The sequence below is a fragment of the Homo sapiens genome, chromosome 17 (genome assembly GCF_000001405.40).
Source record: "Homo sapiens chromosome 17, GRCh38.p14 Primary Assembly".
Lineage (NCBI taxonomy): Eukaryota > Metazoa > Chordata > Mammalia > Primates > Hominidae > Homo > Homo sapiens.
In genome coordinates this window covers 72,404,965-72,419,817 of record NC_000017.11, presented here as the reverse complement: position 1 = coordinate 72,419,817, position 14,853 = coordinate 72,404,965, and the positions used below count along the sequence as shown (strand labels likewise).

Genomic DNA, 14,853 nt, shown 5'->3' with positions numbered 1-14,853 from the left:
AACTGCTCATCTAGACATTCTGGTGGCATGGAGTTCCTTTCTCAGGTCACATAACCATTGGGGGTGCTGATTTAGGTGTCTCCTGGCATAGGATTTGCCCTGGTTTATCACCTGCTGCTTCTGCTGCTGCTTTTTAAAAAAATTGAAGATGGGGTCTCACCATGTTGCCCAGGCTGGTCTTGAACTCCCAAGCTCAAGTGATTCTCCCACCTCAGCCTCCTCAGTAGCTGGGATTACAGGCTCATGCGACCATGCCCTGCTTGTCACCTTGCCATCAAAGAAGAGAGACTTGCAGAAGAGTGTCAGATTCTATCCCATAGTGCAGTATACCAAGGAGGTGGTCTGCAAATGGCCATTGAATATACAAATAGTCTCAGACTTAGCATTTTCTTTCTCATGGTTTATTTTGCTTTGTATAGTTCCATGCATTTGTTGAAAGGAGGAAGATTGAGATTTAAAGGAACATCCCTAGTGGGATAATACCCATCTGCTTAGTGCCTTTTCAGTGCTCAGCACTGTGCTAAGTTATTTGAGTACAGTCTTTGTTCTCATATTTAATAAAATCAGACTCTTTTTGACCACCTCATTCCATCTCCCATTCAGACCCACAACATCCTCCCAGCCTGTCCAGATAGGTGCTTTCTGCTTGGACACTTTAATGATGGAGAATTTTATCTCTCCTGAGGCCACCCATTCTAACATTGGCAACTGCAGTTGTTGGGAAGTTCATCCGTTTAGGGAGTGTCCATCTGCCTTTGGATACTTCCATCTGTAGGTCCTGGGCAATGAACAGGGGATGAGAGTATGGCATTATGGCTGAATTGTGGGATGCAGACTACAGAAAAGTTCTGTGAAGGGATGGGACCTGGAAGAATCAGAGAAGACCTCGTGGAGTTACTGAAACTTAGAGAAAAAAATGGACTGAAATAGAGAGAGAGCAGGGAGGCTGGCTATGGTGGCTCATACCTGTAATCCCAGCACTTTGGGAAGCAGAGGTGGGCGGGTTGCTTGAGCCCAGGAGTTCAAGACCAGCCTGGGCAACATAGGGAGACTCTGTCTCTACAAAAATTAGCCACACAGGTAGCTAATTTTTGTATTTTTTTGTAGAGGATCCTGGTGGGAGGATCACTTGAGCCCAGGAGGCGGAGGTTGCAGTTAGCCAAGATGGCACCATTTTACTCGAGGCAGGCTACAGAGTGAGACCCTGTCTCCAAAGAGAAAGAGAAGATGAAGGCTTTCTGTAATAGTTTGAGTAGTGAACTTCCAAAATTCATGTCCATCTAGAACCTCAGAATCTAACCTTATTTGGAAATAGGGTCTTTGCACATGTAATTAGCTAGGATCTTGAGATGAAATCATCCTGGATTCAGGTCCTAAATCCAATGACACATCCTTAGAAGAGAAGAAGACAGAGAGAAAGGCACTATGAAGATGGAGCAGAGATTGGAGTGGTGCATCCGCAAGCCAAGGAATGCTGAGGATTGCCTGCAGAAACCAGGAGAGAGGCAGGGGGCAGATTCTCCCCTAAAACCACCAGAAGGAATCAACCCTCTCCATACCTTGATTTTGGCCTTCTGGCCTCCGGAACTGTGAGAGAAGAAATTCCTGTTGTTTTAAGCCATCAGTTTGTACTAACTTGAAATGGCAGCCCTAGTAAACTAATACACCACCCAACCTTGAAAGACAGATAAGAGTAAGGAGGCAAAAATAACCATGCTTTGAGGGTTATTTTTGCAGCCCAATTCCCCAACCCCCCACCTCAAGTCTGTATTTCTCCCAGACTTGAGGTGGGGGGTTGGGGAATTGAGCCGCATGGTAAGGAGACTGGACTCTTTCATTTGTTAGCAGGCAGGGTCTGCAGGCCAGATGCCTCATGGTGCCAGGATGAGGTGTGTGTAGAGGAGAGTCTTTTTGCCAGGAACCTTGGAGGTTTTCAGAACCCAGAAGGATGCCAACTCTGGACCTCCTGCTCCGTTTGACTTCCTCTACTAAATTTCCACCAGTTCCTGCATCTTTATTCATAGAAAGGGATCAAACCATCCTTAACACTCATACCACTCTGCAAATAAACATGTAACTTATACAATGACAGAAGGAATTATAAGATGCTTACTATTAGAAAAATGTATAAAAGCAAAGGAAATAGGAACCATATTTAGTTATAGGATGTTAATCTTTTATCATTAAGTAATAGTTCAATATTTTCTTGATTGTTTAGTATTTCATTGTAGGAACATGTGACATGGTTATTTTTTAATAGTTTTTTTATGTTTCCAACATTTTTTTCCCTTTTGCTGTGAAATAAGGCTCTGATGACAATCCTTGCAGCAAACTTTATTTATATCTGTACTAGCTTCCTGAAGCTGATGTAGTAAGTTACCACAAACTTGGTGGTTTAAAGCAACACAGATTTTTCTCTTGTAGCTCTGGAGGTCAGAAGTCTGACTGAGACTTCTGGAGCTAAAACCAAGTCATTGTCATCAGGGCAGGTTTCTTTTGGAGGCTTCAGGGGAGAATTGTTTTTTGCTTCTGATGACTGCTGGCATTCCTTGGCTTGGAGCCACATCACTCCAGTCTCTGCCTTTGTGGAGTTCTCCTCTCTGTAGTCAAGTCTCCCTCTGCCTCCTTCTTATATGAACACTTACAGCTACATTTAGGGTCCATCTGGATAATCCAGGATAATCTCCCCATCTCAAGACCTTTAACTTAATTCCATCTGCCAAGTCCCTTTTACCATATACCATAAGGTAACATTCATACATAGCAGGGATTAGAACATGACTGTCTTTTGTTAGGGAGTGGAGGGGAGCAAGAGTTTGTGCCATTATACAGCTCATCACCATATTCATGACTATTTTCTCACAATAAATTCCTAAAAGTGGACCTAGAAGGAGAAAGGGCCATCCTTAGGTTGCATGAAATATTCAGTGGTCAGTAGATAGAACTGGCATCTTTTTGTTGCTGTTCCTTTAAGAGCCTTTCTTAGCTCTCCTAAGAGTCAGATCGGATGGGGAGGTGGGGTGTACACTGAAACCCCCATTACAGGAATCATTTAAAGTTAGCCTCTAGGAAGCTCGGGGCTAATGAGATAATTCCCATTAGGAGAGGAAGGAAATGAAGGTGGCCTGACATCCTTTCTGTCTCTAATTTATATGATTCACTGAAACCTCCCCCTCTTCCCCCGCACCCCCCTCCTTCGGCCGCCCCTTTGAATTCTGGTTCCCTGTCCACCGCCTCTGCCAGCCAGGGCTCTGGTTTTCAGCAAGCCCCAGCATGCCTGGGAGCCCAGGAGGGTTGCCTTCCGCTGAGATGAGGCATTTGGGCTCTTTTCTTGGCAGCTGTGCCAGAGAATCTACTCTTTGCCTCCTTCCTCTCTTTTCCCAGAGCCTTGCCCAGCTCTCCCCACCCCCACCCCTGCCCCAACAGGGATGGAACTGGTGGCTATAGGACCGCAGAAAAGAGAAAGGCTGTCAACAGAACACTGGCAGGCTCAGGGGACTTAGGGGCCAAAGCTGCAGAGAGGTTTTGTTTGCTTCCTTCCCCTACCCCCCAGTACATTTTAGGGGGAGGAGAAAGAGAGAGAGAGGGAGAGAGAACAAAAAAAAAAACACACAAGAGAACAAGAGAGAGATCATTCTCTTCCTGTTTTGCTGTGCTGCCTACACTTTTGCTCAAAGTTCTCTGCAAACATGAAAATCCAGTTTGGGTCTTTAATTAGAAAAGTGTGAAGACTCCCAAAAACTTTAGGGTTTTTGAAGTTCAGACCAAACCCTGGAAACACATTTAGGGGCTGGAGAGAGAAAGAGAGAACGACCCCGAGAAGAGCAGAAAGGGAGAGCCCAATCTCATCTGCTCATCTATCGTATTGCTATCAGCTGTTACCCGTTTCATTTATTGGACACCGCCTTTCTTGTCTCAGACCTGCTGGGAGCAAATCTAATACCCACCAACCCCGTGCCCAAGAAGGGTCTCTGGCATTCAGAGGGCAGCATGGTTCTTCCTAGCCCCTGGTTTACTTCTTTTCTTCCTCTCACCCTCCCAGAGGGAGGCCATATGGTGGAGTCTTCCGAGTCAGGGCCAAGGGCCAGAGCGGCTCTGGCCCTGGGGACAGTCCAGCAGCCCTGATGTGCCGTGTGGGTGGCCTGTTCTGTGAACTTGCTGCCTGACCTCCCTGTGCCTCTGAGAGTCCAGCTGCAGCCTTGGGTAACAGCCTGGCCCCATCGTGATGGGAGGGTGCCGAGGCCCAGCTTCCCCGCTCACCTTGGCACAGATGCCACAAGCTGGCCAGGCCATGTGGGGCCAGGACCAGGCAGAACAGACAGAGCCCCCATAAGCATCCTTTCCAGTTGAGTTGGCCTATCTTGGCTCATAAGGCCGTGGTGTCTCTAATGAGAGTGAGACAGAGACAGACAAACCAGGGGTTCAAGGAAGAGAGAACACAAATTAGAAAGATGAAAGATACAAGGGAAAGATACAGGAGTTGGATTTCTATGTAATGTAGCATGAAATAATAGCCAAGCTAGAGTATGGATTAGTCTTAGCTGTTTTGGAATAACGCCTTTATCAGTAGCTGAGCTAAATCATTCATGGTGAGGGTGTCTTAAGTGCCCTGCTCATGACTCCTGCCTTCATTACCTCCTCCCTGCATGTGGACACAAGTTCTCAGAACTTTTAGGGGTGGTTGAGGGAATATAGAAGGAGGTGAGGTAAGGGTTAATCTAAATGTTACAAACAATTTTATTGATTTAAAAAGGAAAAAAAAGGAGTAATGGAAGATGGATCTGGGCTTTATTGTACACATTTTAGGAATGGTTTATAGCAGGAAAATAACCACGGAAGTGGCTTAATGTCCTTCCTCTTCAGAAATGTGCTGACTGTATTTTTGAAATGGAGATAATGCCATAGGGAAATAGATTAATAAGAACAAATAGGCCGGGCACGGTGGCTCACGCCTGCAATCCCAGCACTTGGGGAGGTCGAGGCGGGCAGATCACGAGGTCAAGAGATCGAGACTATCCTGGCCAATGTGGTGAAACCCTGTCTCTACTAAAACTACAAAAATTAGCTGGGCATGGTGGTGCACGCCTGTAGTCCCAGCTACTCAGGAGGCTGAGGCAGGAGAATTGCTTGAACTCGGGAGGTAGAGGTTGCAGTGAGCCGAGATTGTGCCATTGCACATTGCACTCCACCCTGGCAACAGACAGAGATTCCATCTCAAAAAAAAAAAAAAAAAAAAATTAACTGAGTCTTTAGTACTTAACTCAGTCCTCACAACAAGCCTAGAAATTATCCCTGTTTTACAGATGGGTTCAAGAGATTTGAGGTAACTTGCCCAGGAGCCTACGACTCCTAAGAGGCTAACTAACCCAGGACTGGAACCCTGATCTGACTTCGTATCATTAAGCTGTGGGATCTCTGAGAATTGCCACCTGAAGTGTTTTCCTGTTGGTAGGAATGAGTGGGTTCATGTTCTAAGGGCCTCCCATGCTTTAAGATGACTAGCTTGTGCTGCTAGTGATCCATTCATTTATTCATTTGTTCATTCATTCATTCGTTTGCCTCTTCTTTGCCAGACAGTGAGCTTGGTACCCTCAACACAAGAAGAAAAACATGGCTGCTACTGCAGCCTGCAGCCTGCAGCTGACCGGGTCGACCTACACTACTGGGTTGGGGAACATCAGGAGGCGAGCAGGCTGCTGGCACCCACAGTCTGGGGACACATGCTCTTTCTCTCCCATATCAATGGGCAGTCCTGCTCGGTGACCCAGATCCAAACAACTCAGAGGTCCCACTGTGTCCTCACTGCAGACTGACCGCTGGCTCTCAAACATCTGGGTGGGCAGTAGAGGCCAACAGGGAACTTTAGGGACCAAGGGAAGAGGACTCAGCAGTTTATCCCTCATGAGGAGAGAGTGGAATCAGCGACTGTCTCTCTGGAACCTCACTCCTGGCCTGATTGCCAAAGGGGAGAAGAGCTCCTGCCTGGTCTCAAAGTCACTGTTTCTCTCTCCCCCTCGATCCCCATTGTTGCAGCAGGGCCAGGACTCTGTCCGGCCAGGTCCCCGACTTGTTCTAAATGGGTCATCTGCAGAAAGAGAAGGAAAGGCCTTATGATTGGCTGTTGGATGGCCCCTGAGGGACGTAGTGCATGAGAAGGAGAGGGAGGGCAGAAGGGAGTCTGGGACTGGGGTACCTATTATCTTTAAAGTCCATCTTTTGGCACAGTCCACCGGGACAAACAAGGGACCAGGTCGGCTGGTTCGGGAGGGTCTTTGATCTACCTATAAGTTAATGCTTTTCAATGGAGAACCGCAAAGCAGCCCCACCCAGGGCCTCGGAGATAACAGGCTGGTGCAATCACAAACCACCGGCCTCTTGATAATGCCGGGTTTTATTGAGGTCTGGTTTTTGCCCATTGGGAACACATCCGGCAAGCATCAAAGGGAGCAGGCGTCACCCTGTGCAAAGAATCGTGGGCCCTCAGGTGCGTGCACCTTGGGTTGCGTGTGTGGCTGTGTGTGCACAAGCTGGCCCGTTGGCAATTACCTTTCTGTAGATCAGAGGCCACCAGCCCCAGAGGGGCCTCGACAACTCATGAACTCTGTTCCCGCATTCTGGATGGTCCAGCTCCTAAGATGTCCTTGAAAATGGTAACTTAGCATCTTAAGTAGGAGGGTCACTCTTGTGTCGTTGAGTCCCTGACTCGACATCCCAAAGGCAGTTGGTGTGAGAAGTTTAATGGTGAGGTGAGGTGGACACTCAGAGGAGACAAAACCTAAAAGCTTATCAGACTTGTTCCTTTGCAGTCTTTTGAAGGTTTTTGCGTGGAAAGTTGCCCTTTGGCAATGGAAGAGTTAATGGGTGAACTGGGGGAGCCGTGGTCCTGGGGGAAGGGTCATCCCCACTCACCCCCAGGCTGTGCCTCTTGGCTGCCTCATATTTTATCTGGGCAGTCAGGATGCTGTGCACTGCGTATTGGCCTCTGGAGACCAGCGCAGAGAAGCACCACAATACAAACAGAACATCTGGAAGCTTTTTAAGGTTTGTTTTTTAACACTTTTGCAAGAGTCAGGACATTTGCACACGGGGTTTACTGGCTGGAGGGAACCCAGGGACTTGAGTCAAGTGGGAGATCTCTGACTTTGTGAGGAGGGGGTGGTGAGGGTAAGGAAAGGAATGTGGGCCGGGTGCAGTGGCTTACGCCTGTAATCCCAGCACTTTGGGAGGCCGAGGCAGGCAGATCACCTGAGGTCAAGAGTTCAAGACCAGCCTGGCCAACATGGTGAAACCCCGTCTCTATTAAAAATACAAAAAAAAAAAAAAAAAAATTAGCCGGGCGTGGTGGCGGGCGCCTGTTCTCCCAGCTACTCGGGAGGCTGAGGCAGGAGAATGGCGTGAACCCGGGAGGCGGAGCTTGCAGTGAGCCGAGATGGCGCCACTGCACTCCTACACTCCAGCCTGGGTGACAAGAGCAAAACGACGTCTCAAAAAAAGAAAGAAGAAGGTGGGAACACTGGAAGCAACAAGGTCCGATATTCTTCAGACTCACTTGTTGCAGTGACCTGTTGGAAATCCTTAGGCACAGAAAAGGAACCTGGAACAGAATCCTGGGTTCCTTGTCTTTCTGGTCTTGCTGGTATGGAGCAATTGGACGTCTTCTTCCTTGTCCCAATCAGCTGCAGTAAAAGGACTGAAAGAATAGAAGGCAAATCCCTTGGGAAAGAATGGACATGCTGGCCCTAAGGCCTCCGGGAGACATGCTTTATAGACTGGTACCTGTTCCTTTATCTTTCCATCTGGGCTAGCCAGGTGGGGCTGAAAACGTAGAGTGCAGGGAAGCCATTGATCCTGGTCCTGCAGTGACTTGGTACACCTGAGAGAGTGAGAGCCGGTTGGCTTCCTCCTTTTCTCCTCCTCTTCTCTACACCCCCTTGCCTCCCCATACTGACATCCTGGACTTAATGATTTAAGCCAAGGGAAACAAGGAAAAGCTCGGCTCAGCATTTTAGCAGAGCAGGCTGGGAATGAAATAATGAAGAAAAAAGTCATTCCCGGCAGGAGAAAGAATTTATACGGGACTTAATCTTTCTTTTTAAGGAGAGGGCATCTGCTTGTTCATCCCTCCCTCATTCTTGGTCACTGGTTTCTCGTTTAATTCTTCCTTCTCCACTCCACCTCCTTTATGGCCCCATTGCCAAGCTTATTGTCAGGGCTCCATTAAATATATGTGAAATCTGTGCTTGCTCAGAGAGTATCCTTGTGCCCATGGAGTTTATCTTGAAAGAGGCTCACGGTCACATGGCTGCCTTTATTAAGACAGTTCTTTTCGTGGGATGAGCTAATGCTTAGCACCTCATGGGAGCTGGCTTATTGTTTGCTGCTTATTAGGGGAGAAAACTGAGGCTTTGTGTGGTTATTTATGTGAGAGACTGAAAGGTGTCCACCCTGTTCTTATGGGAAATGAGGTGACACAGCTGCCAGGAATTCCACCCCGTCTAGTCACCCATCTGGCAGGTACAATGTTGGTTCCCAGGTCTACCCCAGCCACTCTTATTACAGTTTTTGCTTTGGAACCTCTTATGTCCTGCTCACGATCAGGATTCAGTACCTTCACCAGCTCGCAGCACACAGTTCCTCTTCTGGCTGGCTGCCCCTCTGCAATGAGCGATTCTTAACCTTGGCTCATCATTGGACTCAGCCAGGGAGTTTTCACTGCTGTCTCCCTCCTGCCCTCATAGATTCTGCCTTAACTGGGTTGGGATGAGGCTGAGACAGTGGAATTTTGAAAAGCTTCCTAGGTGATTCTATAGCGTAGCCAAGGTTAAGAATTACTCCTTTGGGACAGTGTTTCTACACTGGGGACACTCTTACTGTCCGCTCCCCCAATCCCAGGCATACCCCGATGTCTGAGACATTTTTGATGATCACGCCTAGGATCAGGTTGCGGGGGGCTCTGGCATCTAGTGAGTAGAGGCTGGGGATGGCACTGAACGTCGCACAATGCACAGGACAGTTTCCCACAACCAAGAATTGTCCCACCCCAAGCATGCCTGGTTGAGAAATCTTGCTCTAGACTAGTAGTTCTCACACTTGAGTTTGCATCAGAATCACCTGGAGAGCTTATTAAAGCAAATTGCTGGGCTGCACTCTCAGAGTTTTTTATTCAGTAAATCTGGAGTGGAGCTCAGGAACTTGCATTCCTAACAAGTTCCCAGGTGATGTCAAGCCTGTTGATCAGGGCTACAGTTTGAGAACCATTGTCTTTGAGTGACTCTGAATCCTACTTGCCTATATCTGTGCTATATTGTACCCATGATGATTACTAAAAATCCACAACAACGGGCTGGGCACGGTGGCTCACGCCTGTAATCCCAGCACCTTGGGAGGCCGAGGCAGGTGGATCACTTGAGGCCAGGAGTTCGAGACCAGCCTGGCCAATATGGTGAAACCCCATCTCTACTAAGAATACAAAAATTAGCTGGGCATGTTTTACACACCTGTAATTCCAGATACTCGGGAGGCTGAGGCAGGAGAATCACTTGAACCTGGAAGCCAGAGGTTGCAGTGAGCTGAGATTGTGCCACTGCACTCCAGCCTGGGTGAGGCTCTGTCTAAAAAAAATAAAAAAATCCAAGACAACACAACAATGACTTAACTAAGACAGAAGAGCATTTCTCTCTCACATAGAAATCCAGAGGGAGGCCATTTAAGGCTAACGTGATAGCTGTGGAGTTGTCAGCCATCTAGGCTCCCATCTTCCTGTTAGACCATCTGACTGCATGCCTTCCATTTTCCATGTCCCTGAGTCCAAGATGATTGCTGGAGCACCAGCCATCATGTCCTCATTGAAAGCAGAAGATAGTAAAGGCAGGCAAGTAAAAACTGGGCTCCTTCCAGCACCTTTTGAAGCAGCCTCCCCAGAAGTCCTGCAACACTTCTGCTTTAATCTCCTTGGCCAGATCTTGGTCACATGGTCATATCTCACTTACAGGAAGGCTGGGAAATGTAGTCTTTTTACTCTGATCTGCAATGTGTGAACTCCAAATTAGAGTTCTGTTACTAAGAGGAAAAGGTAGAATAGATACGGGAGTGGCCAACTAACAGATTATGCTCATCTGTGCACACCTACTCTTTCCTAAGGGTTGTGGTGTATTTGGCATCTACCATGTGCCAGCTGCTTTTCATGTATTATCTCATTTAATCCTAAGAGCTTTGCAAGGTGGATAATAATATCTCTATTTTGCAATGATGAAACTGAGGCTTTCAGAGATGAAGCCACCTGCCCAAGTTATCAGTCAGCAAATGGTTTAATTTAACATTCCACTTCGAAGCCAGGGCCACTTCTTGCCTTAGATGCTCTCACAGACCTGCTCTTTTCTTGCTGAGGCTGCAGGGTGTTGGTTTGAGCTTTCCAAGCCAAATTCCAGCTCCCACCCCTTTTGCCCAGCTCCCCTTCACTGTTACCAATATCTCTCCTATGATACTCTCTTCAAAAGGCTCTCGGAAAATACACTGTATTGACAAGATTAGTTTCTTATTGCTGGTGTGATAAATGACCACAAACTCAGTGGTCAGAATTGAATTGGAGAACACCCAGCAGGTGTCCGCAGCTCCGTGTCGGGGGGATAATCCCCACAGATTTGGTCACCAACATCTTCTGTGTTGATTGTTGTGGGGTGAGAGCAGAGGAAGAGCATGGTTGGAGAGAGTTTTCCCTGCACAGTCACGATGAGGGCTCAGAGGGACTGACAAGGAAGAAGATGGTTCTCCAGCTTGAAGAACTCAGAGAAACACGTTTAGTGGTTTATTCTAAAGGCTGTTACGAAGGCTACAGGTGAAGAGATGCATAGGGTGAGGTGTGGGGGAAGGGCTGTGGAGCTTCTATGCCCTTCCTGGATGCTCCACCCTCTAGGAACCTCCATGTGCTCAGCTATCTGGAAGCTCCCCAGAGAACCCTGTCCTCTTGGGGTTTTATGGAAGCTTCATGACATCAGCATTCCTTCCCCAAGGGTATAGGGCGGGTCCTGCTCTGGGGAGGGTCTCAAGACCTATAGTCAGAAAGGTGGGGAAGATTAGTCCTGCCTTCGGGAAGGGTAGTGGCTTAAAACAACACAAATTCATTCTTTCACAGTTCTGGAGACCAGCTTCACTGAGCAAAAGTCCAGGCATCTGCGTGGCTTCCTTCTGGAAGTTCTGGGGGAGAATCTGTTTTCTTTGACCCCTTCCTTGAATCCTTCCAACCTCTTGCTTCCATTATCACACTGCCTACTACCTCTCTGGGATCAGATCTCCCTCTGCCTCTCTCTTATAAAGACACTTGTGATCACAGTTAGGGCCTACCTGGATAGTCCAGGCCAACTTCTCAAGATCCTTAATCACATCTGCACAGGCCTTTTTGCCATATGAGGTAGGATTCACAGCTTGCAGGGATCAGGGTGTGGATATCTTTGGGGGCTACTATTCAGCCCCCAACAGGAGCCCTCTTGCTACTGTTCTTCCATTTCTTGTCCCCATCTTTTTTTTCCAAACACAGAATGTACATAGATTTCACTTCTGTCTGGGGTTTTTTTAAAAAGGCCAGAAACATGGTCTACAGGGCAAGGCGATGTGTTGGGAGGGTTTGTCTAATCAACTCCCAGTGGCCATAGCAACAGACATGAAAATATTCAAGTGGAAAGGGACTGGGGGTGGAGGGGAGGGTATGGAAGGATCCTGCCCTAGAGGGGCCTGTGTCACCTCAGTCAGGTGACTTAACCTGTGGAGTGATGTACGATGGAGAAGCATAATCAGTAGCTATGGTAGTTCCGTAGCGAGCTTTGCAAAGCTTCCCTGTAATTCTAGGGGATCAGATCTCTAGATGCCTTCTAATTCCTGCTCCTCCTATGGTCTTTCTCTAGGCTAATAGAGGTGTGTCTTTAGTGGAATACAAATGCCATATCTAGAAGAGTTTGATTTGTGGGGAGGAGGGAGAGTTAGGATCTGCTTATGGCCTAACCTCATTTTCCTCCCTTGTGTGGATTCCCTCATCCCCCCACACATCCCTTGGCTGGGCCAGCCCTGCTGGGATGAGAGTCTGTGGTGTTGTATGTTTTGCTTTTTATTTTATTTTGCAAATGCCTCACAGCATTCCCCTCTGTGTTTAATGTCCCACTGCCAAGTGCATGCAGTTGCCCGGCAACAAGAAGGAAGTCCCTGGGTGATTCACCCGGCTGTTGCCAATTAATTTGCGAGCTGCATGCATCTCCCAGGGGAAAAGGGCTCTCTCCGAGACAGCTCAGAGGGCCACTAACCAGGTGGAGAAACGAAACCAGAGGAAGGTCAGCAAAACTTTGGGTTTGTGTGGGGTGTTTTCAGGTCCAAATGAAAGGGTGTGTCCAGAGGGCCCTGGCAACACCTGTGGCAAAGACTCCTGGCTTCCTTCTTGGCCACCAATCAGAGAGCTGCCTGGAGCACACAAGCACTTCTGTGTCTGCACATTGGTTGCCTTTTTGATTTTTCATCCTTTTATTTTTTAGTTGACTCTAAAATGCAGACTCTCCTGTCCCAGTTCATCTGCAGAGAAATGTCTTGAACCGTTTTTCTTCTTGTCAGTCCCTCTGGGCTCTCATTGTAACTGTGTAGGGAAAACTCTCTCCAACCGTGCTTTTCCTCTGCCCTCACACTACAACAGTCAACACGGAAGACATTGGTGACCGAATGTGTGCAGGTTTCTCCCTGACACCAATTCAACTCTGATACCATCTACCTGGAGATAGCATCAGATCCCATGGGTTGAGGACTCAGTACCCAAGACTGCCCCCTCCTCCCCAGACACCAGTGGCCAGTCCAGGCCTCTGGAACTTCTCACCGACCAGCTTTAAGTTGGGGTTCCCATGACTCCCCTCTTTGGGTTCAATTAATTTCCTGGAGCAGCTCACAGAACTCAGGGAAACACATTTAGTGGTTTATTCTAAAGGCTGTTACAAAGGATACAGGTGAAGAGATGCATAGGGTGAGGTGTGGGGGAAGGGGCACTGGGCTTCCCTGTCCTCCCTGGATGCTCCACCCTCCAGGAACTTCCATGTGCCCAGCTATCTGGAAGCTCCCTGAAGAACCCTGACTTCTTGGGGTTTCATGGAAGCTTCATGACGTCAGCATTCCTTCCCCAAGGTATAGGGCAGATTCCTCTCTGGGGAGGGTCTCATGAGTCAGAAAGGTGGGGAAGATTAGAGTCCTGTCTTGGAGCAGGTGTAAGGAGGGCAGGAGAGGGATTCTGTTTCCTGAGGCCCAACATTATAGCAAAAGACTGTAACAAGGGCTATGGGAGTTATGAGCTAGGAACTTAGGACGAAAACCTGTGTGTGTGTGTGTGTGTGTGTGTGTGTGTGTGTGTGTGTGTGTGTTTATCAAATAACACCACAGTGTCATTATCTCATCTCTGGCCACTGGTGCCCTTCTCTCTGGGTTTCCTGGCCACTGCACACATCCCCACCAAGGCCTCAGCTAGAGCCCTCATGAAGGAGAATTCCTTTGCACCAGGTTGAGTGGGGCCCCCAGGTCTTTTGAGGGACAGAAGGGGGCCTGTTGGTTTCCAAATGCCCCCAGAATCCATCGTGCATTTCCCTCAAGGCCTTGCTGTCCTCTGGCCCCATACTTGCCTAAGGAAACCTTTGATCCATGTTATGTCTCCATTATGGCCTGTGAGGGTGGGGTTTGCCTGTCTGGCTGATTCCTGTATCCACAGCATCTAATCCAATATGGTACTTGTGAATGCATGGATTTGTGGTTGCCCAGGTATTCCTTGTGGATTGATAGTGATTGCTAGAATCAGAGACCCAGAGGGCAGCCTCTTTCATAAGGCCTATGTTATCTGTATCTGTGAATAGGCCTGATATGGTTTGGCTTTGTATCCCCACCCAAATCTCATCTTGAATTGTAATCCCCATAATCCCCAGGCGTGGAGGGAGGAATCTGGTGGGAGGTGATTGGATCATGGGGGCGGGTTCCCCCATGCTGTTCTCATGATAGTGAGTGAGTTCTTACAAGATCTGATGATTTTACAAGTGTCTGGCATTTCCCCTGCTTGCTCTTCTCTCTCCTACCGCCATGTGAGAAAGGTCCTTGCCTCCTCTTTGCCTTCCGTCACGATTGTAAGTTTCCTGAGGCCTCCCCAGCCATGTGGAACTGAGAGTCAATTAAACCTCTCTCCTTTGCAAATTACCCAGTCTCAGGTATTTCTTTATATTGGTGTGAAAACAGACTAATACAAGGCCCCTGACTTGCACTGCTAAGACTCATCAGTTTTAAAATAGGGCACTCTCCTGAAGGCATTTGGTGCTATTCAATATATTTGTTACTCAGTAATGGAAGGTAATGTTGAGGGGTGAACATCAAGGAAAGTATCGTGAGTCCAACTCCATCTTAATTTATTTGCTATCAGAATTAGGGAAAAATAAATATATTTAATGGTGTCTTACCATTTCCTCTGAGCTATCCACTCTGAGTAAGTTCCTAATTTATTGTTAAGGGTGTTTCAGAAGCAGAGAGAAGTTCCTAGTAAATCCTAAACATTAGGATTAGGGACCAGAGCCCTGCTGTTCTGTAGCAAGAACACCGGCACCCTCTGTGCCTCGGCTTTCCACTATAAAGTGGGTGATCTACCACCCCCATGCTCCCTGCCCCATAAATCACAGAAATAATAGTGACCTGCTGAAAAACAGAATTTTCCACTTCCTCTGGACTGGCTGCACTCAGTGGCATTTTAAAAAATCAGCTCTGGATTTCGTAGTGGGATTTGTGTAGGAGGGTTCCTGGTGATGATTCAGTGGATGGATAGTTCCTTGAGAGGTATAAATAGGCTTTCCCCCACCCCCA

At 47.8% G+C, this 14,853-nt stretch overlaps 1 long non-coding RNA gene across 5 annotated transcripts in view; it reads left to right on the top strand.

Moving 5' to 3' along the window:
- Positions 1–14,853, top strand: part of LINC00673 (long intergenic non-protein coding RNA 673) — a 189,483-nt gene that overhangs the window by 172,987 nt on the left and 1,643 nt on the right. The window lies entirely within an intron of this gene.